The following is a 27,758-nucleotide window of genomic DNA, read 5'->3' as shown; positions in this document are numbered from 1 at the left end:
TGTTAATAATACATTTAAAACATTATCATTTCAACATGAAATCAACATTTTACAATTATTAATGAGATGTCACATTCTTTTGTTGTAGTTAGTCTTTGAACTCCTGTGCGTGCTAAGTCTGAAATCCTTACAGCACATTTCGATTTGGACTAGTCACATCTCAAGGGTTCAGTAGCCACATGTGGCTCATGCCTGCCATCCTGGATGGTACATCTGTAGAGTCTACAGGGTAAGTGCTGTCCCTAGTGGAAGCAGAGCTTCAGAAGAGTTGCCTGATCATAGGACCTGGCTTCAGGACACAGCCAGGCTTCCAGGGAAGGAGTGACTGCTAGATATTAGAACTTAGTTTCTAATATCTTGTCTGTTTATTGTGTGAGATTCTGTGTAGGAAAAATGGTCCCAGACTTTGCAAAACACCAGTGACTGGCTTTGTCCTTTTTAGAGAACAGATCAAAGTATGTTTCAATCCAGAATTGAAAGCTGAATTTGGGGATAAATGTCAGATTATGTTAGGTGTTACAGATAATTTAAAAATATTTAGCAAGTTTCCTATGCAACAATTTATCTGTAGAAAAATTAATATAGTTTTTATATTCCAAAGTAAGGTTTTACTTAGTTTCCAGTTCTATAGCTGCTGCCCAAAGAAAACATTTATGTGAGAAGTTAAGGAAGTAAAGGGTGGTTCCCGTGAGCTCCAGTTCCTAAATAGCTGAGAAAAACAAACATTCTGAACATCCCCTTTAGCTCCTTCGGCAGGGCTGGGCTCCTGTCTCCACACAAGGTGTCCTGGGGCATTACAGGGGCTCCAGACTTACCCCTGGCTTTTGCAGGGGGCCTGCCCTTTGCTAAATTAAGCCCAGCCAGGCCTATCTGTGAACAGAGAGGCTCCAGCCGAGTGAGAGAGATTGGTTCTGCTAAGGAATGTCCTGGGGAGGGGAGAGAATCGCTGAGATCATGGGTATTTATGTGTATGTTTTCTCACTTGCCAGCTCAGTTGGGCCACATCAACAGAGGCCTCTGGGACACGACCAAGATTCTAACAGAGTGACTATAGGGAATGAATAGCTCATGACACACTGAGAAGGGTTTAATTGGAGATCAGTGTGAATACCACAGCAGAATGTATCTTGGGAACTCTGTGCTCAGAGTCTAAATAAAACAAGCAGAACACCTCATTTTCCCTCATTTTTCTTTTTGTTTAAAAAAATGGATTTTGTTTTTTATTTTATTTTTTATTTTTTAGTTTTTTAAAATGAGATAGGGTCTTTCTATGTTGCCCGGGCTGGTCTCAAACTCCTGGGCTCGAGGGATCCTTCTGCTTCAGCCCCCCAAAGTGCTAGGATTACAAGTGTGAGCCACCAGGCCTGGTCAGATTTTGTTTTTTAGAGCAGTTTTAAGCTCACGGCAAAGTTAAGCAGAAGAGCCAGAGATTTCCCATTTACTCCCTGCCCCTACATACATACCTGTGTATATACAGCCTCCCCCACTATCCAAACCCAAAGATGTCTCATTTTGATATATCTTTTCTTGGATTCTTAAGCTTAGTGTTGACCAGAAATACCTCTTATTATGATTCATGCATCTGACTGTCTTTGGGAAAACTAACATTTATTGAACACCCACTATATGTCAGGTATTTTTTTTTTTTAACATCTTTTCATTTACAACCCTGAAAGGTAGGGGTATTAGCACCATTAAAAAAACTAACAACAGAAGGAAATGAAACTTAGGTTAAAATGATTTACCTCTAGAATACAGAGATGAACTACGTGAAACTGTAAAAAAATGATTGAATATCTCCATTTTTATATGGTTCAACCTAATAGAATGTAAGAGGGCTCATATTTGAACCCAGGCCAATTTAGTTCAAAAGCCTATACTTTGCATTGTACTGTACTACTGCCCTAAAATTACTAGAATAGCACTGGATTCTTTGTTTTCCCTTGGGGGTGCTGTAGTTTCACATAGATGTAGATTTATATTCCTGCTCCTTAGAAGACTAGAACAGCGATGCTTAGAGAAAGAGCAAACCAAGGTATGGTATATCTTGAGTTAGAGTAGGAGTTGAGTTGAGTGGGAGCCTAAGTTTAGAGACTAAAGCTAGGAGTTATATGATGGACCCGCACTGATTCGTGTATCTGCTGCTATTTATATCTGCCACCTGTGTGCATTTCCATACAGCTGATTCTGGGTTCTCTTTTGTTTGTTACATGCTATGATAATCATTGGTTTAATTAACCCCATAGGCTGTAAATTCTCTGAAGACTGTGATTCTGTCTGTCTTGCTCTTTCTAGTACCTATTAAAGTGTCGGCACATACCAAGTAGGTGCTTACTAAGTATTTTATGAAAAAGCAAATGAATAAACAAATGATACTATCTCAGCTACTCTGTCCTCTGCCCAATGAGCACTGTCTCTGTCTTTGCCTCTGTCTCTCTCTCTCTCTCTACACACACACACACACACACACACACACACACACACACACATATACACACACCCTAGCTGTGTCTATCCAAACACCTAATCTCCTTAGCACTCATCCATGGTCTCAGTGCTTACTCAGACATGGGTGTCTGTGTTTGTCTAATCAAGGTAAACCAGGCTGGGAAAGGACTGGTATTGCTTTGAAGCTTTTACTAAGGACTGACATAGGTTGGGCTTGAAATATGACCTGAACAGAGCAGTTTTGCCATTTGAATGTGGAGCCTTATATTGAATAAACTGAAACTTTTCCACTTGGTTTTTTCCATCTCTTTGGAGAACAGCACTGGACACTAAAGCAGGCTCTGGCAGGAGAATGTCCTGGTCTTGCAGAATCTTCTGGTTGCTAAGGCTGAGGACACAGCCCCACTGTCCTTTCTCTGGCAACAAAGGACATTTGTCACATGTTGGGGCGACTTATGTTTCTAATTTGGGACTTAACTGCACTAGTAAAAGACAGCAAATGTGGAATCAGTAGAAAGGTAGAGATTGTGCATTTGAATCAAGACTTTCTTCCACTTCACATTAAAGTGTAAAAACTTAATGCTTTGCATTTGAATACCTTCTGATAGGTGGCTAGGTGTCTCACATAAGCGTAAAAGATGAGTAATGCAGGTGGTATTATCATTCTTATGGGCAAGAAGGAGAGGCTGTAATTCAAGTTAATTGTATAAAAGCATAAAGCTCTGGGGACGACCAGTTTAAGGTCACACAGGGAGTTAATGTTAGCCAGATATCTAGACCCACTAAGGCTTCATTTTTGCTCTAAAACTTATGAATGGAGAGAAACTCCATTTACAAAAGAATTCACTTGGAAGCTACTAAAATGTATTTCTGGGGATCCTGCAATGACCAGTCCTTTGTCTTTTGGTCAAGACAGATAGAGTCCTTTCTGAAAATGCTCAGTGCTTCTCCCTGTTTTATAGAGTTATGACCTTGCCCCATTGATGTCAGAGAAGCCTGGAGAAGAAATTCACTCTGCATACAAAAAAGATGTATGTACTACACTTTTCCTAGAAGAGATAAGATTCTAAAAATGAAACGTTTTAAAATAAAACCCATTCACTAATAGTTACTTTTCACTTTGGGTGAATAATCAGGAGTTACATCAGGGTTTCCCTACAAGATTTTGAAACTCTTCCTCCTGCTAAATTATTTTTTAAAAATTCCTTTAGTTTACAGAATTGATTAGGATGGGATTTGGTCATATTGATTTTTGTCCCAAATAAAGACTCTTTTGTGGAATGCCAGCTCTTCTCTGGCTTGCTTCCTACTATCTTGCAAAGGTGCAGTACCCATTTCCTTCACTCACTGACCTTAACACAACTCTGATTACACTGAGAACTCCTTGAGGTCAAGGACAATGATGCCAAGAAAAGCACTTAGGTTTTGGCAATCTTTAATCTCCAATACTTTCTTGTCGACTTTATCAATGAATGTATGCTGGTATGCTGTCAAGATTTTTTAAAAACTATTTATTTCTTTTTTGTTTTTATTTATTTATTTATTTTTTTGAGACGGAATCTCACTCTTGCCCAGGCTGGAGTGCAGTGGCGCAATCTTCGCTCACCGAAACCTCCGCCTCCTGGGTTCAAGCAATTCTCCTGCCTCAGCCTCCTGAGTAGCTGAATAGCTGAGTAGCTGAGGAGCCCTGAGTAGCTGGGCTCCCACCACCACGCCCGGCTAATTTATGTATTTTTAGTAGAGATGAGGTTTCATCATGTTGGCCAGGCTGGTCTTGAACTCCTGACCTCAAGTGATCCACCAGCCTCAGCTTCCCAAAGCGCTGGGATTACAGGCGTGAGCCACTGCGCCTGGCCTATTATTATTTTTTGAGTGGCTGCTCTTAGCCCAGCAGCAAACTTTGAGGGATATAAGCTTGCAGATGAGTTGAAATGCATACACATGAATGCACAAATGTGAAGTTAAATGCCAAAACAAAAATGTAAGCCATCAATTCAAAAGTGATAACAAAGTGTTTATTTCAGAAACTTATACTAAGAGTTACTGTGAGCCAAGAACTTTTATAAAACCTAGAAGGGGAGGCAGACATTTTAAATAAGCAATGTAAGGCAGAGTCGGGTGAGTGCTATACTAGAGGTAAACATCAGATGACCTGGTATGAATCCTGGTTTACTAAGGACAATCTTGATTTTTGCCTGTTGCCCAGAGGTAATTATGATAGCACCTGTTTGTACTATCAGAAGAGTCTCAGTTATTAAATTATAGTCATATAAATTATAAACTAAGTACAGTTGAAGTGAAAAGAAATTATTAGTTCTGACTGGGAGGTTGGGGAAAGGTTTCTATAGGAGAGGATGTTTGAGCTGAACCTAGAAGAACAGGTTTAGAAAGAGAAACCATCATAGGCTGAGAACAGTTCAGGCAAAGCCTTGGTGGCCTCCAAGGACACTTGTATGATTGATTTCTCAATCAGCAAATGCCCTTGTCTTTAATGGAGAGTAGTACCACCAATGGCTAGCGAGGTCTTGGAAATTATCTCACCATGAACTATCATCACTCAGAACTCTAGTTATCAGAAAAAATGGCTGCTGGGTAATGACTGATGTCATTGTCATCCTGTGTCAGATCAGAGGGCACAGTTCAAGTTGGCTAAGGTGAGCAGGTGAAAGGGAGAGGAAGAGAGTGAGTGAAGCAATGTGAAAGTTGAAGAGACTAAAGGATAAGAGGTGAAGGGAGAGAACTGTGCTTTTATTGGTTCAATCTGCCCAATTAAAGAAGTTGCAGTTCCTCTTTAAACAAATCTTGTTTTTAATTTATTTCTGCATCTCTTCTTTCCTCCCTATATCCCATACTCTGTTGTATTCTGAGTCTCCCAAGTTTGAGACGTGCCTAGAGGCAGGTTTAATTTTCTTTATCCCTCAGTATTGGGAAACGGACTCTGCACCACTGAGTCTATGTAAGTCTGGTGGCTGAAAGAAGCTGCCACAGGGAGCCGAATTTTCATTGCTATCTATAACCTGAGTTTAGGTAATTCCAGAAATGAAAATGAAAAAATAAAAAAGAATATGGACATTTGCCTTTTTGGGATGAAAATGCCCCTTTTGACTTCTCATTATGTAAGTTTGAAAATTTTCAAATATAAACAAAGACTACGAAAATAGTACCTCCCGATGTATGTGTCCCATTTACCAGGGAGCCATGTTCCCATCACTCAGCTTTAACGGTTCCCAACATTTTGCTGTTCTTTTCAGTGATCTCCCTGCACTGTTCGTTCTCCATCTTGTCCTCTTCCACCCCTTACAGCAACTCTCTGACATCATATAATTTTATTTGGGAAGATATCAGAATATAACTCTCACAGAGAAGGCTTTGTTTTTAAACATAACCACAATACTATTATTGTACCCAAAAAGCTTAAAAATAATTCCATAATACCATCTAATACTGGGTCCATACTCAATCTTCCCTTTAAAAGTCCGTGTTAAGATCTGGAGATTTTAAGTCAGTATTTCTGAGCTCCAATGTAGTGCACAGGAGTAGGATGTTTAGCCCTTCTTACGGAGAGCATGAGCAGTAGAAGAGGAGGCTGGAATCCTAAAGTGTATTCAATCTTCTATTGTCAATGGGTCAATAATATACCTATTAGAGAATATTCTTAGCTTAAAACTGAAAAAGTCAGCCAGGCGCGGTGGCTCACGCCTGTAATCCCAACACTTTGGGAGGCCGAGGCGGGCGGATCACGAGGTCAGGAGATCGAGACCATCCTGCCTAACACGGTGAAACCCTGTCTCTACAAAAAATACAAAAAAATTATCCGGGCGTGGTGGCAGGCGCCTGTAGTCCCAGCTACTCGGAGACTGAGGCAGGAGAATGGCATGAACCCAGGAGGCAGAGCTTGCAGTGAGCCGAGATTGCGCCACTGTACTCCAGCCTGGGCGACAGAGCAAGACTGTCAAAAAAACAAAAACAAAACAAAAACCTGAGAAAGTCTTTATTTATCTACTTATTTGAGATGGAGTCTCGCTCTGTCACCCGGGCTGGAGTGCAGTGGCGCGATCTCAGCGCATTGCAAGCTCCGACTCCTGGGTTCACACCGTTCTCCTGCCTCAGCCTCCCGAGTAGCTGGGACTACAGGTGCCCGCCACCACACCCGGCTAATTTTTTGTATTTTTAGTAGAGACGGGGTTTCACCGTGTTAGCCAGGATGGTCTCATTTCCTGACCTTGTGATCCGCCTGCCTCAGCCTCCTAAAGTGCTGAGATTACAGGCGTGAGCCACCGTGCCCAGCCCTTATTTTTTATTTTTTTGAGGTGGAGTTTCTCTCTGTCACCCCAGCTGGAGTACATTTTTTATTTTTTCGAGATGGAGTTTCGCTCTGTCACCCCGGCTGGAGTACAGTGGCACAATCTCGGCCCACTGCAACCTCTGCCTCCTGGGTTCAAGCGATTATCCTGCCTTAGCCTCCCGAGTAGCTGGGATTACAGGCACCCACCACCACGCCTGGCTAATTTTTGTATTTTTAGTAGAGACAGCGTTTCACCAGTTTGTCCAGGCTGGTCTGGAACTCCTGACCTCAAGTGATCCGCCCACCTCAGCCTCCCAAAGTGCTGGAATTACAGGTGTGAGCCCCCGCGCCCAGCCAAAAGTGAGAATGTCTTTTAAAGACTTCAGATAAAAAGTTTTCCACATAATCTCACAGCATTATCTATTACCTTCTCACTCATTCAACAAACATATCATTGTTAGTCCACTTCCGCCTCTTGTCATCTATTCCTTCTTTGTTCTCTTGTTGGTTCACTCTTTCAATGCTTTTACTGCACCAAGAGGTGAGAGACACTGCGAGGACCTCAGATTAGTCACAGCTGTCGGTTATTTGTTTTTGTTGTTGTTGTTTTTGAGACGGAGTCTTACTCTGTCGCCCAGGCTGGAGTGCAGTGGCGCGATCTCGGCTCACTGCAAGCTCCGCCTCCGGGTTCACGCCATTCTCCTGCCTCAGCCTCCGAGTAGCTGGAACTACAGGCACCTGCCACCACGCTCGGCTAATTTTTTTTGTATTTTTAGTAGAGACGGGGTTTCACCGTGTTAAGCAGGATGGTCTCGATCTCCCGACCTCGTGATCCGCCCGCCTCGGCCTCCCGAAGTGCTGGGATTACAGGCGTGAGCCACCGCGCCCGAGCTGCGGTTATTTGTATCAGACATTGTGCTGGGTACTTTACATAAATTCATTTATTCCTCACTACAAACTTTGAGGTAATTTTTGCAACCCCTATTTTATAAATGAGGAAATTAGGTTGTAAAAGTTGAAGTAATTTACACAAAAAAGGTCCCCCAGTTAGGAAGTGGCAGAAAGGTATGTGAACCTAGGTTTACTTATCCTGAAATTCCTGCCCCAGCATGACAACGCTGAGAGGCAGTATCTTAATAACCAGCGCACCTGGGTAGTTCTGCCACACCATCATTTCCTCTGTCCTTAGGGAGTTTGCAATTTAAAAGGGTAAATAAGACAGGTGTAGAAATATGAAGCATTTACACAGGATGCCAATGTTGCAGTATGAAAAGAATATTTGAAAGCTCATAATGTCATCATGAGAAATTACTTTTAATTTGGAGAGATAAAGTAAGGCTTCACAGGGGACGTAGCATTTAACCATGAAGCTGAAGGGCACACAATGATGTGGCACCAAGAAGCATAGGGCATGTTTGGGAAATCCAGTTAGGCTAGCAGATAATAATGGAAGATAAAGCTGGATAGGTAGATTGAGGTCAAATTTTGAATAGACTCTATTATCAGGCCAGTTGTGTATAATTTAATCGCTGTACAGTTAAAAATCGTTAAAAGGTTTTTTCTTTCTTTCCTTTTTCTTCTTTAGCTGGACCTGCATCACATATTAAATGCTTTTTGGACAGACGGAATGAAATAACCAGAGCTATGCTTTAGGGAAAATTTAAGTAGTAGAGGGACTGAGGTTGGGGAAACCAGATATGAGACTATTCATGTACTCCAGTCCTGGGGAGAAGGAAGAAATACCTAATAGAAGTTTAATTTCAGCTTCATCATTGAAACTTTTTCTTGAGTTAGATGGGCGAACACTCCTTTGGAGGCATGAAGAAAGAGAAGTGCTTTCTTCCCATCTCCCCTTTCTTGAGTACATAAATTTCCTTAGATATCTTGACAAAGAGCCAAGAAGACTTGGTGATAAAATAAGCAAATGCAGTTAATTTGGAATCTACTGATGCTATAAAAGAATTTAACAATTTACACATGAATATTTAGTAATGGAGAATGAATAAATGTGATAAGCTATATGATGATTTTTCTACAGAAAGAAGGTGCAAGAAGGTTAGACTTTGATGTAAGATTATTGCTTTTACCTTGAAAACCCTTCTGGATTTCAGCCATCCTAGTTAGAGAGGGTAAATTGTTATTGTTTTTATAGTTAATAATAGTTATCATTTTCTGAATACTGACTGCATGCCAGGCACTGTGCGATGTGATTTTTGTGCATAATTTCATTTAGTCTCCCTAACATCCTTTGTAGATTGGTATCATTGTTATCTCCTTGATAGATGAGGTGAATGAGGCTCTTAGAGAGGGCAGGTGACTTGTCAAGCCCCCTTCTCGCCTTCAGAGCCTATGCTCTTGACCACTATACTTACTGCCTCCATATATTCTTTCAAGACTAAATGCAGCACATTCTCTAATTCTATAATTTACCACATTCTACAAAATCAGACAAAACTGGGCAGTGTTTGCTAAGCTGGTCTCTCTGATAAAAGGCTAAAGCAAGAGTGGAGTGTTGGTTTCAGTTACGGCTTTTACCTTGGAGGTAACCCTTCTGGATTTCAATTTCCTTGTCTTTAAACTAAGAGAACTAGAACACAGAAATGCTGAGGTCTTCAAATCTGTGAATCTTTGGGCAAATTGGTCAAAGCATTGACTTCATTTTCTTCAGTAGGATTTAGAACAGATAGAACGTACTAATTTATGTCCTCTGTTTTTCTTCCTTTTAGATCTAAGTATTTTTCCTGGTAAGGCTGAGGTCTCTGACTGGCACTAGTTAGCCTGGACATGAAGGGAAAGTGAATCAAGGTTGTTGCACAGCTGTGTGCAAGGCATTGTTCTATGCTTATCATGCACATTGTCTCATTCAATCCTCACAGAATCCCTCGTGAATACTTATCTTCATTAAAAAGCAAAGCAACCACACTATACTTATAAGAAAACTGAGGCTCATAGTGATTAGTTAACCTGCCCAAGGTCACCTAGCAGGAAAGTGATAGAGCCAGGATTTGAACCTAATTCTTTCTGGCTTTAGGTTGGTTTCATAGTGCCTCTCACTTTCCCTGTTGTTTGTTTATTTTTATTTGAATATTCAAAGATTCCTCATGCAAAAATAGTATTAATAGTAAGGGACTTTTCAGGGAACTTTCTGTTGATCAGTTTATACCTGATAGAGATTCCCTATGTCACATCATGAGACTAAGAACTAGGCAGAGGACATCCATATAGCTCCAGTCATTTGAGACCTCACGTATTTTTAGATATGAGATTTTTAAAAAATCTGCTCAAGCAGTTTTGGCTTATCTGAGGTGGTTTAGCATATCCAGACTTTTCTGATTTATATAAATTAGCCAGGCATAGGAATATCATTGATAATAACACTTCATAATTATAGATTCCATTTTCTTTCATATGAGATTTAAATAGCTTTTTGCCCAGTCTTTGTCATTTTCCAGGTGGAGAAGCCTTAGCAGAATTTTACCCAAGGTCACAGAAGTGAATCAATTGGTGGCAGAAATAATAATAAACTTAGGAGTCCTCTTTCTCAGCACCATATCCTGAACACTGAATCCACTTGAAACATTATGGTCTCATGGAAAGCAAACTGCTGTTCCAAATGATAATGCTGTTGTTCTTGATGATGATGGTGATAATAATATTATTATAATTAAAATTATAGTTATACCTGTGTTAGAAACACTGTCCTAAGTCCTTTACATGTATTGATTTATTTATGCCTCACGATCCTCTCAGTAGGTTTATGAATGAGGAAAATACAATTATCTGCCTATTACAGATTAGGAAATTGCTCCCTCTTTGCATTTCCCACATAATTGAATGCATATTCCTTCACCTCTATGAAGGGCCAGTAGCTTAGGGACCATTTTTTATGAAGACATTTGAATTCCTTTAAGTATTGACCACAAAGCTGGGGACATAGCAACTGTTTAGCAAATCTTCTATTTTACTGATTCATCAATTGGTACAGATGAATTATTCTTGCAGTGCCAGGCCATGGAACTGATATAGAGATCTTAGACTTGTTCTTCATACAAAATTGAAATATGCGTGTTTCCATTTGTTAATCTTTTGGTATTTGTATTGCAGAATAAAATACAGGGTACTCAATTCAATTTAAATTTCAGATAAACAACAAACAATGTTTTAGCGTTTAAGTTATGTCTCAAATATTGCAAAGGATATACTTCTAATGAAACAAATTATTTGTTGTTTATCTGAAATTTAAATTGAAGTAGATATCTTATATTTTTATTTGCTAAATCTGGTAATGCTATTTAGTGTTCATAAAATAATAACTTTAAAGGATATCCTGAAAAGACAGGGCTATCATTCCCTTCTTTTGAAGAAATTAGGATATTTTCATCTCACTGGATCTGAATCTATGTTCTAACCTTGGTCAAAAGGTACCTACTTATGAGGGGAATAAACATTCTTCTCAGTATGTCACTAAAAAAGTACTAGTAATATGATCTAAAATGCCTTGAGTCCAACTGCCTTCCAGCTCTAAAATTCTTTAATTCTAAGTAACTCTCAAATATCTAAACCAGGTTTCTACTTTTCCCAATTAGTATTTGTGTTTCAACCACCCTGCATGGAAACATGGGTTATGAAATGCCTTCACAAGTATGGTAGAAAATATGCTGCTATTGTGTGTTGCCTTGGACTTCTAGAAGTCTAGGTGTTGGTGGTTATTATATGGCGATAGTAAAGTAAAATCCTCCCTACTGTTCTAGTACCCACAATACTACTTTTCATACTTTAGCTACTTTACCTTCAGTCTCTCTGTCAACCTCTGATCTAAAGACTTCTTTACTAAATAACATTCTTCTTGCCTAATACTGTATTATGGACTTCATCAGGGAAGGGACTAATCCATCTTTGCATGCTAACATTTAAGCTGAAATAAAGTAATCCCACAATTAACATTTTGCAGAAACCTCCTTAGGTTCCCCTACAAACCTGCCCCTATTTTAGTTAATAGAATGCATTCCCACTGACATGCTGGAAATTTCAGCATTGTCTTTGGTCCTCCCTCCAGTCTAATCTGAATCTCACAAGTCATCAAGGCCTGTGGCTTCTGTCTCTGAAATGTCTTTTGAGTCTTTCTCCCTGTACCTCTTGTCCTTAGACAGTCCCCCTCCCTATTCTGGTTAGTTGCCCCTGACCCACCCACCTTCTTCATAATTCCTTCTTCAACATGGACCCGATCATGCCAATACTTTGCTTAAAGCTCCCTGATAAGTCTTTGATTTCTACTGATTATTATCCAGTTTTTTACTTTTTTAATTTTTTTTATTTTGAGACAGAGTCTCTCTCTGTCACCCAGGCTGGAGTGCAGCAGCATGATCTTGGCTGACTGCAACCTCCACCTCCTGGGTTCAAGCGATTCTCCTGTTTCAGCCTCCCAAGTAGCTGGGATTACAGGCGCATGTCACCACGCCCAGCTAATTTTTGTATTTTTAGCAGAGATGAGGTTTCACCATGTTGGTTAGGCTGGTCTCGAAAGCCTGACCTCAAGTGATCTGCCTGCCTTGGCCTCCCAAAGTGCTGGGACTATAGGTGTGAGCCACCGTGGCCGGCCTATCTAGTTGTCTTAGCAGGATTTTCACAAACTAGTTGCAAACTATTTTCTATACTCCTTACCACACACTAAGCCACTTAACCTGCACCAGACACACTTGGGATGTTTTTATTTCCTTATTTCTGTTTCCCCAAATCTTACTTGTTGCATCCTCACCTCAATAAAAATTAATTGTTCCCTGTATAACTTTACCATCAGAGTCCCCTCTCACCTTAAGCAAACCTAATTTATAAAATTCCAATTTTATGATAAAAGCATTGTTTTTAAAAATGTTTACAACCAAATTTCTTTAAATAATTGAATCCCCAGGCATTTAAAAGTATTGTTCTATTACTATAATTCTATTAAAAGTATTATTCTAGCAATTTCGTTTTCAGGAACAACCTGTATTAGATAGGAAAAATTTATTTTAATATATACTCTGTCCTGCAATGGTTTAGAGAACGAATAGACTTAAGCAGTGTTCATGATCCAGGGGTAATGATAAATAGGTTGGGAAAATTGATAAGTAGCTCAGGGGAAACCCTGAAGCTCTACAGTTTATTCTTCCTTGACTAGATTGCTGATCCAACTAAATCCCTAATTATGTCAAGGTTCACAAAGAGGGCAGAGATGAGGTGAGAGGCTGTGGACCAAGGCAAGACTCAATTGATTGAATAAATTTTGGTATTACTACACTGTGGACTATTATGCAGTTATTGAAGAATGAGTTAGCTCTATATTATTGTCCTAGTGGGAATTCCTTGATTAAAGTAAGGGGGAAAAGTTGCTGAGTGATATTTATAGTATACTGAGGAAGAGTGAGATCACAGTCCGTGATAGGGAGAAGACTTGATATTTTTCTTTATATACATTTATATTGCTAAAATGGTTACTTTTATAATTTACAGTTTTTTAAAAGCTTAGTGTTAAATGACAAGTATTGCTAAAATTATTAAAAATATTTTCAGACTTCAATAAAGTTTCAGAATACAAAAATTAATGTACAAAAATCAGTAGCATTTTACCAGGCACGGTGGCTCACGCCTGTAATCCCAGCACTTTGGGAGGCCGAGGTGGGTGGATCACGAGGTCAGGAGATCGAGACCATCCTGGCTAACACGGTGAACCCCGTCTCTTCTAAAAATAGAAAAAAAAAATTAGCCGGGTGTGGTGGCAGTCGCCTGTAGTCCCAGCTACTTGGGAGGCTGAGGCAGGAGAATGGCGTGAACCCGGGAGGCGGAGCTTGCAGTGAGCCGAGATCATGCCACTGCACTCCAGCCTGGGCGACAGAGCCAGACTCCGTCTCAAAAAAAAAAAAAAATCAGTAGCATTTCTACACACCAATAACATTCAAGCTGAGAGCCAAATCAAGAATGCAATCCCATTTACAATATCCGCTAAAAAAAAAAAATACCTTGGAATACATCTAACCAAGGAGGTGAAAGATCTCTACAAGGAGAACTATGAAACACTGCTTAAAGAAATCATAGATGACACAAACAAATGGAAAAACATTCCATGCTCATGGATTGGAAGAATCAATATCATTAAAATGGCCATATTGCCGAAGGCAATCTACAGATTCAACACTATTCCTATCAAACTACCAATGTCATTCATCAAATGACCAAGATCAAAGCCAGAGGCATCACACTATCCAACTTCAAACTATACTACAAGGCTACAGTTGCCAAAACAGCATGTTGCTGGAAAAAAAAAAAGACACATAGACCAATGGAAGCAAATAGAGAACCCAAAAATAAAGCTACACACCTACAGCAATCTGATCTTCGACAAAATCAACAAAAATAAGCAGTGGGGAAAGCACTCCCCTATTCGATGGTGGTGGGATAGATAACTGGCTAGCCATATGCAAAAGAATGAAACTGGGCCCCTACCTTTCAGCACATATAAAAATTAACTCAAGATGGAGTAAAGATGTAAATGTAAGACCTCAAACTATAAGAATCCTAGAAGAAAACCCAAGAAACACCATTCTGGACATTGGCCTCAGGAATTTATGACTAAATCCTCAAAAGCAATTGCAACAAAAACAAAAAGAGACAAGTCGGATTTATTTAAACTAAAGAGTTTTGCACAGCAAAAGAAACTATCAACAGAGTAAACAGACAACCTCTAGAATCTAAAAAAATTTGCAACTAGCATCTGAAAAGGGTCTAATATCCAGAATCCATAAGGAATTTAACAATTGAACAATGAAAAACAAATAACCCCGTTAAAAAAATGAGCAAAAGGCATGATCAAACACTTTTCAAAAGAAGACATACAAATGCCCACCAAATATATGAAAAATTGCTCCACATCACTAATCATCAGAGAAATATAAATCAAAACCACAATGAGATACCATCTCACACCAGTCAGAATGGCTACTATTAAAACGTCTAAAAACAACAGATGCCGGTGAGGCTGCATAGAAATGGGAATGCTTACACGCTGTTGGTGGAAATATAAACCAGTTCAGTCACTGCAGCAAGCAGTTTGGAGATTTATCAAAGAACAACTTTAATGGTTCCACTGGCTAAACTGCATGTCTGGCTCTGATTGGCTAATGCTCTGTGGTTTTAGGGGTGATGTGGAGAATCTCAACAGTCAGAATGAAGCTGAGCTCCGACGCCAGTTTGAGGAGCGACAGCAGGAGACGGAGCATGTTTATGAGCTCTTGGAGAATAAGATCCAGCTTCTGCAGGAGGTGAGGAGTTCCCAAAGTCCATAGGTAGGGGTTCTCTTTTATTAACACTCCTCTTCCTACTGCTCTGCCTTCTGGCATTCACCTTTTCCGTCTCTACTTTCCCTCTGAAATTCATCAATGTTCCTGGGTCTTAGGGCTCCTAATCTAGGTAGAAATTTTGCAGCCTCTCAGTTTTTGTTCTTTTTCCAGGAATCCAGGCTAGCAAAGAATGAAGCTGCGCGGATGGCAGCTCTGGTGGAAGCAGAGAAGGAGTGTAACCTGGAGCTCTCAGAGAAACTGAAGGGAGTCACCAAAAACTGGGAAGATGTACCAGGAGACCAGGTCAAGCCCGACCAATACACTGAGACCCTGGCCCAGAGGGACAAGTAGGTGCCTTCGGTGCTCTTTTTGTCGCTTGTCTTTTGCCCATTCTCAAGGCATACAGCAGCTGTCCTGTTCCCTTTCAAGGACTGACAGTAGGAGCTTCACTATTTCTAAGACTTTATGGTCCCACAACCGAAGACATTCTTTTCAGGGTTGAATTTTCAGTGGTATCCATTATGAAAACTCACTTCATGGATTCAGTGGGCAAATAGCGGCAAGCAAGAGACATGGATTCACTTATTCAGCAAACATTTACTGGGCATGCCACATGCCAGATACCGGGCTAAGTATCTGGCATGTGTTACAGAAACAAAAGACCTAATTCTTGTCACCAAGAAACATGTTACATGATTTTAATAAGTTCCCTGATAGAAGAGCATGGGGTGCTCTGGGGAAATATTGGAGGGTCATCCATTCCACATTAAAAGAGCAAGTTGTCTGCTGTGGTCTGAATGTTTGTGTCCCATCCCCACCTCCCTCCCCCACCAGTTTATATGTTGAAATCTTAACCCTTAAGGTTAATACTTCTGCCTCCAGAAGTATTATGAGGTGGAGCCATTAGGAGGTGATTAAATCATAGACATTGGAGATGGAGCCCTCATAAATGGGATTAATACGCTTGTAAAAGAGACCCCAGAGAGCTAGTTAGCCCCTTCTACTATGTGAGGATATAGTGGGAATGCACCGTTATGAGCCAGAGTGTGAACCTTCACCAGACATTGAACCTGTCAGTGACTTGATCTAGGACTTCCCAGCCTCCAAAACTGTGAGAAATACATTTCCGTTGTTTATAAGCCTCCCAGTTTATGGTGTTTTTTTATAGCAGCCCAAAAAGACTAAGATAATGCCATTGAAGGTTTCCTAGAGGAAGCGAAATCTGAGCTGAGCTTTGAAGGATGAATAGGAGGTAGAATAAATAGGTAGAAAGTGGATAGGGAAAGGAAATATTCTATGCAGAAGGAGAAACTATGGAGGGAAGACACAGGGAAAGGAATATTTCAAGAACTTTAAATAATTGTACATAACTGGAGCAAGTGAGAAGACAAGTGAGAGGTAAGCTGTTTTGAGAATAAGGGTCTGATTGTGCCAGCTTTGTATACCATTATAAGGAACTTGGACTTTGTCCTGAAGGTAACTGGGCAATTATTGAGGTCACCACCATCTACTGTCTGGATTACCGAGGAAACTTTCTAAATGTCCTCTCCACTTCCAGTCCTGCTCCTCTCATTCAATCTCAACCTAATAATTCAGAGTAGTTCTGAAATAGATAATTCAACCACAACAAATTGGCAAATAATTTAGCCTCTTAGGTGCATAAGACTGTGGTGGTATAAAAAGCTTTAAGGAGCTTTTAACTGAATAGGCAAAAACCACATGTGCATACCATGACCAATGTGATCTTTCCAAGACATAAATTTAATCGCACCATGGCAGAGCCATTTAAGAACTTTGCAATACCTTTAGGAGATAAGATCCATACTCCTAATGTGGCCATCAAAGCCTTTTATGATGTAACCTCTGATTTCTCCCACACTCATCACCCACCACCATTCCTTAACTTCATTCATGCCAGGCTAGTAATAATAATGATGGCTAAGCTTTGTTGAGCTCTTACCATACAGCTGAGTACTTTATGTTCTTGTTTAACAGCCCCATGAGATATGAATTATTATACTTTATTAATGAAAAAATTGGCATCTGGAGACTTGTGAAACATGGTTTCAGGGATTGCTGACATCCAAACCCTGAAGCCATACTGCCTCCAGAAGCATAAGAAGCTATGGCAAGTCTCCAGAATTTTGCTCATGCTTTTCCTTCTGTGGGAAACATCTGCCAACTTTTTCCCTTCTAGTGAACCTCACTAAGGCATCAATCGTCATTTCTTTGAAGGCTTTGTGATAGCAGAATGAAGTTTCTGTATTGTTTCTTTTATATATATATATATATATATATATATATATATATATATATATATATATATATATATATATATACATATTGTACAATTCTCAGTATGGTACTGTATTTGCTTTCAGATTTTCCCTACTAGGTTCCCCAAGACAGTGTCATATTTGAACCCCAATAAAAAAAAACTGAACTAAAAACCAAAACAAAGCCCCAAGTAAAGCACATGCACATCTGAAAATAAATTGAGGCCACTCATCAGATGACCTTGAACAATTTTGGAGAGTAGGAGAACAGATCCTCTGTAGAGACTAAGGGTCAAAGAGATGAGCAAAGTTTGAGGTTTAAGAAAAGTAGAGATGTTCTAGTGCAGATACCACGAGGGAATTTCATACGGAGTCCACATTCCTCCTTCTCGTCATCATTGCAGTTTACATTTGTATAATGTTTTTAATTTTTTGTTTCTGTTTTTGTTTTTGTTTTGAGATAGAGTCTCGCTCTGTTGCCCAGGGTGGAGTACAGTGGCAAGATCTCGGCTCACTGCAACCTCTGCCTCCCAGGTTCAACCGATTTTCCTGCCTCAGCCTCCCGAGTAGCTGGGATTACAGGCGTGCACCACCACGCCCAGCTAATTTTTGTATTTTTAGTAGAGACAGGGTTTCACTATGTTGGTCAGGCTGATCTCAAACTCCTGACCTCAGGTGATCCACCTGCCTCAGCCTCCCAAAGTGCTGGGATTACAGGGATTACAGGCATGAGCCACCATACCCAGCCCAATGTTTTTAAGTTTTAAAAGTTATTTCTCCTGGGAATCATGGCTCACACCTGTAATCCTAGCACTTTGGGAGGCCGAGGCAGGCGGATCACGAGATTAAGACCATCCTGGCCAACATGGTGAAACCCCATCTCAACTAAAAATACAAAAATTGGTTGGGCATGGTGGCGCATGCCTGTAGTCCCAGCTACTCAGGAGGCTGAGGCAGGAGAATCGCTTGAACCAGGGAGGTGGAGGTTGCAGTGAGCCAAGATTGCGCCACTGCACTCCAGTCTGGTGACAGAGCAAGACTCCATCTCAAAAAAAAAAGAATCACAACTGGAAACATTTCATTTAGTACCCAGCAGATTTTCAAGGACCTGGAAGGTTCATGTTCCAATATATACAAACAGAGAATATGCCTAGCACATAGATGATCAATAAGTTTATTTGAACCCATAGTTTGTATACCTCAGCACAGTATTTTACAACTTAACCCTAGTCTGAGGGTCTGAATTTTCAGTCTCTTCTCCAGCCATTGCCTCTTCCCTGGGCCTTTGTTCCAGTGACTCTTCCCAAATTGTACACTGGGTCTTCATGCCTTTGTTCCTTTGTTCAATCTCCTCCTTCTGAGCCTGGAAAACCACCCAAGTCTTTGCTATTGTAAATAGTGTGCAGTGAACATTTGCATGCATATGTCTTCATGGTAGAATGATTTATATTCCTCTGAGTATACCCAGAAATGGGATTGCTGGGTCGAATGGTAGTTCTGCTTTTTGTTCTTTGAGGAATCACCATACTGCTTTCTACAGTGGTTGAACTAATTTAACACTCCCACCAACAGTGTATAAGTGTTTCCTTTTCTCTGCAACCTCACTAACGTCTGTTATTTTTTGACTTTTTAACCATAGTCATTCTGACTGGTGTGAGATGGTATCACATGTGGTTTTGATTGCATTTCTCTAGTGATCAGTGTTATTGAGCTTTTTATCATATGCTTGTTGGCTGCAGGTACGTCTTTTGAAGTGTCTGTTTATGTCCTTTGCCCACTTTTTAATGGGGTTGCTTTTCTTTTGTATATTTGTTTACATTTCTTATAGATGCTGGATATTGGACCTTTGTCCAATGCATAGTTTTCAAATATTTTCCCCCATTCTGTAGGTTGTCTGTTTACTCTGAAACCACTCAATCTTTAAAATTTCTTCTCCTGAGCATCGCTATACTCCTTCAAGTCAAATGAATTATTTCTTTATCTTTCATCCTATAGCTCTATGGCAGCACTCAATGTACTATATGGTGCCTCTATTCTGGTAGCATTTATTATATTCTATTACTATTATTTGCTTATATACAATCATGCATCACAAACTACAGGGATATGTTCTGAGAAATGTATCTTTAGGCAATTTCATTCTTCATTGTGTGGCCATCACAGAGCATACTTACACAAACCTTGATGGGATAGGCTACTGCACACCTAGGCTATATGGTATAGCCTATGGCTTCTGGGCTACAAACCTGTATGACATATTACTGTACTGAATACTGTAGGCAATTGTAACACAATGGTAACCATTTGTGTATCTAAACATAGAAAAGATACAGTAAAAATACTGTATAAAAGATAACAAACAGTACACCTGTTTAGGGCACTGACCATAAATGGAACTTGCAGCACTGGAACATGCTGTGGGTGATTTAGCGAGTGAGTAGTGAAGTGAATGAATGTGAAGGCCTAAAACACATTTTGTAGTCATATAAAAATATTTTCCTTATATCCTTATTCTAGAAAAGGTTTATTCTGTTTTTAAATTTTTAATTTTTTTTTTTTTACTTTTTAAACTTTTTTGTTACAAACTAAGACACAAACATACACACAAGCCTAGGCCTACACAGTGTCAGGATCATCAGCTTCACTGTCTTCCACCTTTACATCTTGTCCGCTGGAAGGTCTTCAGGGACAATAACACACATGGAGCTGTCATCTCCTATGATAACAATGCCTTCTTCTGGAATAGCTCCTGAGGGACCTGCCTGAGGCTACTTTACAGTTATTTTGTTTAATAAGTAGAAAGAGTACACTCTAAAACGACAATGAAAGTATAGTATAGTAAATACATAAACCAGTAACATTTATTATCAAGTATTACATACTATACATATGTTATATTTGTATACAACTGCCAGCGCAGTAGGTTTGCTTTACACCAGCAACACCACAAACAAGTGAGAAATACATTGCACTATGATGTTACTGCAGCTAGGACTTTACTAGGTGATAGGAATTTTTCAGCTCCAGTATAATCTTATCGGACCATCATCATACATGCAGTATGATGACATAATGTTGACAGAAACAGTATATGGTACGTGACTGTAGCTGTGTGTCTTCTTACTCTCCAAATCACTAGCAAACACATGCTGGTGGAATTTAAATTTTTGCAAAACAGCGATTGTTTCTTTCCCAACTTCATATTTCCAGTACTTGGTAGAGTGCATTGAGTACACAAAATAGTTATCCAAGAACCGTTTATTGAATGGAACAGCCACTACCACCACCACCAAAAAATTCTAGGCCCTTATTCCAAGAGTTAAATTCCTATGGTCTAAAGATCCATGGATGAACTTCAGGAGGTCCATGAATGTGGTGAAAATGTAAGCAAAAAGTTGTTTGTGTATATATTTGGGGGCTGAGCAGAAAATACATGCTTTTCTAAAGAAATGTATCAAAAGGTTCAATGATCCAAAAGGATAAAAACCTGCTATACTAGACCATGCTATCTTTGGAATGGGCTGAAAAAATAAGGTAATAATAGTATCATGATCATAATTATTGTCCTTACTTTTCCTTTGCTTCAGGAGAATTGAAGAACTGAATCAGAGCCTGGCTGCCCAGGAGAGGCTTGTAGAACAGCTATCTCGGGAGAAACAACAACTGCTACATCTGTTGGAGGAGCCAACTAGCATGGAAGTGCAGGTAAGGTTTGGTCAGTACATCCAGAAGCACTTGCTTCATGCTTTCATAAGCCCTGCTTTTTAATATCTAAGTGTATTTGTTATCTATTGTTGTGTAACAGATTACTACAAACTTAGCAGTTTAAAACACCTTATTTTTGTTATCTCACAGTTTCTGTGAGTCAAGAGTCCAGATATGGCTTAGCTGAGATCTGTTTGGAGTCTCATAAGTGTGAAATCAAGGTGTAGACTGGGCTCTTTTCTCATCTGGAGGCATACCTAGGGAAGGATCGGCTTCTAAGCTCCTCAGGCTGTTGGAAGGATTTATTGCTGTGTAGCTGTAGAAGTTATGGCAGCTTCCTTCTTCATAGCCAGCAGCAGAAAGAGTCTGTTACTTTTCTCACTTCTAGACTTTCTTTTAAGGGGCTCATTAGGGCAGGCCCACCAGCATAATATCCCTTTTTGTTAACTTAAAATCAACTGATTAGCAGCCCTAATTACATCTATATGACCTCTTTACTTTTTTCATATAACATAGCATAACTATGCAGTGACATTTCATGACCTTTGCCATATTGGTTAGAAGTTACAGGTTCTACCCATCCTCAAGGGGTGAGGATAACACAAAGATGTGATGGCCAGTGGGTGAGAATTATAGGGACCACCTTAGAATTTGCCAGCCACATCAAGTGATTTATAATTATATAGAACATACAATGTTTTAGGGGTTTTTTTGAGGGTTAAGTTGTAAAATACTGTGCCGAAGTACACAAACTGTGGGTTCAAATAAACAGTTATTGATCATCTATGAGCTAGGCATATTCTCTGTTTGTATATATTGGAGTATGAACCTTCCAGGTCCTTGAAAATGTGCTGGGTACTAGTTGAAATGGTGATTACTATTTCCGTACAAGTGTATCAGATAATGATAGAAATTTGCCTCCAAAAAAAAATTTTTTTTTTGAGTTGGAGTCTCACTCTGTTGCCCAGGCTGAAGTGCAGTGGGATGATCTCGGCTAACTGCAACCTCTGCCTCAGCCTCCCGAGTAGCTGGGATTACAGGTGCATGCCACCACACCCAGCAATATTTGTATTTTTAGTAGAGATGGGGTTTCACCATGTTGGCCAGGCTGGTCTCGAACTCCTGACCTCAGGTGATCTGCCCGCCTTGGCCTCCCAAAGTGCTGGGATTACAGGCGTGAGCCACCACACCTGGCCATAATGTAGTTTTAATATTGAAAAGAGAACTCACTGTGGTAAAAAATAATTGCATTGATTTTCTGGGAAGTTACCTCGAAGGGAACTCCTCTCCTTCATTCAACTTTTAATTTACTAAAAAGATATTTTCTAAAAGAACTTTAGAATATACCTGCACCCAAACAACAAAAGCAATTACCTGGTATCCTTACATTCTTGCACTGGTCTTAGACTACTGATAAGACAAAATGTGGGTGGTTTACTTTACTGGTTCACATATGGAAAGGTTGGGGTCAAGATAAAAGAGCAATGATAAGAATTAGTTTAAACCATTGCTTCCCAACCTTTCCATTTCATGGCAAATGATAATATTTGTAAGGTATAGAGGTAAATGGATGAAGCTTCTCACTTGGAGGTGGCCAATTTGGGTGCTTAGGCCACTATGAGGGCAGGAAAAAATTACTATCTTGGCCACAATTACAAACTTCTTAGACTGCAGCTCCATTTTGGTTGGAAAGCATTGGTTAACAAACTCAAGAAATAATGTGTGAACATAATTTTACAAGTATGAATACAAATTGAAGTTCATAGGCTTTTTGCAAGATACATGTTGAAATATGTGGAAATTTTCTTAAGGGACTCTTGAAAATATTTCGTAATGCATTTAATTAGAAAAAGCTCAACTGAGAATAAGAAGAATTGAATTTCCATCCTGATTATTTAAGCTGATAAGAACAGATACTACACTTGATCTTAGCCAAAAGGCCGAGAAGCGATTCCATCCTGATTATTTATTAGCTGTATGACTATGGATATGTCACTTCTCAGCTTCCATATACATAAAATGAGAAGATTAGCTCAAATAATCTCCATAGTTTCCTATAATGCTAACATTCTATTTTTATCTTATTTCAGAATTTTATTTCATTCTATTTTAGTTCAGAATTTACATGAATATTATTTCTTTCAAAATGTTCACCTTCTGAAATGAAATCACTTTTATTGCTCCTTTTGTATTTACAGGCACATAAATACTAAAATATTTTGTACATATACTTATTTTCATCATCTTTGGTAAGCACTGAAATGAATATATTTAGTTCAGTATTTTCAATGCTAATTAAGGAATTGGTTTGGTACCAGTTTTCAGAACAGACTTAAAGAACCAAAAGATTATAATTTCAAAGAGACTAAATTATTTATATTCTACTCTAAAAGGATGCTTAGAACAAGAATAAGTACAGCATCCAGGGGATAATATTGCATGACCATTGGGCAGAAGAAATGCATCAAATCATATAAACTGTACTAAATTGATATGCTTTTTAAACATTGCCTAATGAAAATTTATTGTTGTTATTACCCAATACATTGTACATTTCAAAACCTGATACATTGCGCTGTTTGTTCTATAAGACAATGTTTCCTACCCTTTTTCATAGAAAATTCATTTTCATAGGAAATGAGTGTACATCTATGGTATTCTGAAATAAGTGCCCATGGCTGCTCATGGTTTGAGGCAATTGCTTATGGCCACCTCAGGACCCATGCACCACCCTGAGAGCTGAGGGGATCAGCGTCTTTGCACAGTGGTGGACCATGCTGAGGTACACTGTGCTGGAATACCCAAGTTGGAAAGCTCTGCCACAGGAGGCCGCTGATAGTTGGTCCTCTCAAGTGTGGAGAATAGAAAGCCTCCCATAGCATATTTCCTTGTTTCTCCCTTTGGGTCTACGTCTTATGGGAAAAAAAATTGGGCCCAAGGACTGGTAGTGTCTTCCCTCAATTTACATAGTAGTTTAATTCATGGAAAAATTTAGTGTAAATTAACATCATGCTCCTATATATATATTAAGTTCTAGGTTCAGATGATTGTAAACAGTTTTATCATCACCCAATGGAACATTCAAATTCCAAAAGTCATTTGGAATTTGGTACAATACTTTGTCCTGTAACATCCCTTGCCTCACTTATCATCGTGACAACATCAAAAACAAGAAACACCCCCACAAAATTTCAAAATGCTCTCTAGGAGATGAGACAGTTGCTCAGTGAGTACCACTAGTATAGGGAGTCCTAGCCTTCCAAAGGTTTATAGTCCAGTGAAAGACTGGTATGTAAACAAAGAACTAAAATACAGTGTGATAAATGAGGAGACAGAAATACACGCATGGTGCTAAAGGAACCCACAGCTGAAAGGAATTAACTCCAAGGAGGAACTCACCTGGAGGTCACCCTTCTGTTGGGCCTTAAAGACTGGATACACCAGGCAGAAAATAGGAAACGGAGCAATATATACAGTGATGTGGAACACAGCTAAGGAATTGGGAGTAATCGATGTTACCAAAAATAAGTATTGGAGAATGATAAAATATATAGCTGGAAAGTACCATAAATGTTGAGCTAAGGGCTTCATGTTGTAGGCACCAGAAAAAAAAAAGCAAGGGGAATAAAAGCATATGATTTGCATTTAGAAAGGTAATCCTAGTTGTCGTGGAAACTGAGGATTGCTTGAAGAGCATCTGAGATAATTGATGTCACCTCCTCAGAGAGCAAATCATAATCTGACACAGCTATGAACTGCTTTGTCAAGTCTGTTCTTTGAATTGGTTGGGGAAAAGAATATTATAAAACCAATTACAAAGCACTTTGTCTCTCCCCTCTGCATAGGTAATGTATGGTGAACCTTGCTATTTGTGACACTTGGAGCCTATGTTGTGGGTGTTATCCTTCTCTGCTAACAGTATACTTTCACTGTAACAGTTATAGTTCCACTGTATTCTACTCAAACCTTGTCTGCCATGCCAACTGTCACCACAGAAGAAAGACCCTTACAATGTGGAAGGTAAAAGTTCAATTTCTAAGCTCTGGGCCTGTTCTTCAGAGGCTAAAGAATCTCCTCATCTCCAGTGAAGCCATCCCTGGAATCCCTCACTGATTCAGCTGGAATATGGAGGAGCTTAAGTTCTAAAGACCTATTCACTTCCTTTAATTCCACCTATACTTCACAACTGAGAATACCACAAACAGTTGGGCCCTAGAAGAAAGAAGAGCTCACAGATCTTGCACTTCTAGGTCTGAATTGTCCAAGTGAAGAACGCTCATTTACTCCACATCCCACAGATAACTATCTCTCAAGTGATCCCAGTATGAAAGTCTGGAGTATGAGTATAATATACTCACTGTAATATCTGAGTACAGGAAGTTCACTTCAGAGTCTTCATTCTCTCAAATAAGACAGACACTTTTGATAAAGATTATTTTATTTAATTGATCTTACAGTCTTTCTAGCTGTTTTCCTTTTCCATTCTACCAAAACATTCTACAACATTCATTTTAGTGGGAGTGCACTTGCACAATATTTATGAACGTCTATAATTAACTTCTTGTAAAGCAAAAAAAGTACCACCAACTAGATATGCCATTGACTGACATCATTCCATATCTCCTTCCAATCCTTCTTGATGTCCATTCAGATCAATAGTATGTGTGATCAGAGTGTTGAGGAGCTTTTTGATGTGAGGCTGTGACATCTTGTCCACATCTTTTTCACTAGGGAGTCAGAAAATCTAATAAAGTTTACAAAGCATTTTTCTCTTCCTCAGTAAAGGTATCTACAAAGTTGCAGGGAAAAGCTAGCAATTGTTTCAGTTATTGATATTATTTCCTTCTACAGAATGTTAGAAGCTTCATCTCAATGAAGGTTTTAAATGAAACCAGACCTGGAGGGTGTGAAGGCAGAAAAAATGATGCCCTTGCAAAGGGAGGTCTGGAGGAATTCTTGTTTTGTTTGTCGCCTTTTTTCTCTCTCTGCATTTCTCCTTCAGTATAAGATGAGCAAAATTTATTAACATGTAATCTCACTGTGGTTGGCTTATAAAATGAAACAGGATAACACAATTAGGGAGAGGCCCACATTAAGTAAGTGAGACCTTCCCACTCACACAAATTAGCACAGTCAAGCTGTTGCATTTATGCCTTGTTTGGAACTTAATGTAAATAGTACTGCATGCAGTGAGGCATATTTCCTAAAATAGCAAACATTCCTGCGTTACCATGGAGAGATCTGACTTGGAGGTTAAGGCAAGAATGTGCTCTAAATGCTCAAGGCAGAGACTGAAAACCTTGCAGTGATTAGTAGCTCAGGCAGCTCCGGACAACTTCATATGAGATTTTTTTTTAGAGTAGCTTTTCAGTATCCCCTTCTTTTGCTGATGAATGTTGAAGCTGGAGACTCATTTACAAATCCCCGTTCAACATTACTGTCTCCCAGACAACCTTCATTAATAATGTGTCTCTGAAGCAGGCCTTAGCAGCTAAAGCAATCATTGCTCTAATCCTTTTGAGCAGCAAAGGAAGTGGAAAAATAGGCAGCTGCTTTACAACTTAATCAAAAATATTTACTGAGCACTTGTAATGCACAAGGTACTGTTAGGTGAAGGAAGAAGAACACAAAGATGTGCAGGATTTAGTCTCTACCTTCTAGAGATTACAATAGGAGAAAGTCACTGATGAAAAAAATACAAGGCAGTACAGAAAGGAAAAATCATCATGGACTGGGGTCAGAAGCAAAGATTTTGGTCTCTGAGGAATGAGTAGGATTTTACTAAGTAGATATGAAAAGGAAAGGCATTTCTTTATTCATTCATTCAATGATTATTGAGATCTAGAAAGATACTGTTCCAAATACTTCAGAAGCAGTCTTAGTCCACTCAGGCTGCTATAACAGAATACCATAGACTGAGTGGCTTATAAACAATAGAAATTCATTTCTCACAGTTCTGGAGGCTGGGAAGTCCAAGATCAAGGCACTGGCATTTTCAGTGTCTGGTGAGGGCCCACTTTCTGGTTTATGGATTTCCTGCTGTGTCTTCACATGGTAGAAGGGATTAGCTAACTCTCTGAGGTCTCTTTTTATAAGGACACTAATCTCTCCCAAATCCCCCACCTCCTAATACCATTATGTTGGGGGTTAGGATTTCAACATATGAATTTGGAGGGGAATACAAACTTTCAAACCATAGCAGATACCAAGATGAGAAAGCTGTGGTTCCTTTTCTTAAGTAGCTTACCAGTTAATGGGGAAAACGCAGTATGGAGAAATGACATACAAGTTACTATAGGTACAAAAAGTATTTTGGAAGATGGAAGAAGAGAAAGATGTCTTTTGGTGGTACTCAGAAAGGCAGCTTGGAGGAAATACTTGAAGGGTGGATAGGATTTTGACAGGTGGAGGTGGTAGTGATAGAAAAGAATATTCCAAGTGTATGAAGTATAGAGGTGGGGAAGTTCAGGGTAGAGAAGTAGTAGCAGGAATAGAATATAGGGGGACAGAAAAATAGAGTGGAGCCAGATTCAGAGAACTTTAAGAAGCAGGTAAAGAAGTTTAGGATTAATGGACAAGTCATTGGGTCTCCAGGTTTCTTTGAGGGAGAGTGATATCTGAGCTCTGTTTTAGAAAGATTAATCTGAAAGGAGGATAGAGTAGAGGGCAAAGAAATTGAGGGGACTCATTATTTTAGCACTCTTGTTACTTAAGATATGAAGTCATTAGGGC

General features: G+C 39.4%; 2 pseudogenes across 2 annotated transcripts in view; one reads left to right on the top strand and one right to left on the bottom strand.

The window, feature by feature from the left end:
• PDE4DIPP2 (PDE4DIP pseudogene 2) overlaps positions 1 to 27,758 on the top strand; it is a 195,809-nt pseudogene that overhangs the window by 71,339 nt on the left and 96,712 nt on the right. For both annotated transcript variants that reach the window (NR_144517.1, NR_144516.1), the window contains 3 exons: positions 14,904 to 15,027; positions 15,217 to 15,392; positions 20,909 to 21,026. The product of NR_144517.1 is annotated as a PDE4DIP pseudogene 2, transcript variant 2 (transcript). The remainder of the gene's footprint in view (positions 1 to 14,903; positions 15,028 to 15,216; positions 15,393 to 20,908; positions 21,027 to 27,758) is intronic.
• On the bottom strand, positions 22,834 to 22,978 carry LOC124904641 (uncharacterized; annotated as a pseudogene).

Source organism: Homo sapiens, chromosome 1 (genome assembly GCF_000001405.40).
Source record: "Homo sapiens chromosome 1, GRCh38.p14 Primary Assembly".
Lineage (NCBI taxonomy): Eukaryota > Metazoa > Chordata > Mammalia > Primates > Hominidae > Homo > Homo sapiens.
The sequence above is the reverse complement of the archived record's forward strand: the minus strand, read 5'-3'. Positions and strand labels throughout refer to the sequence as shown.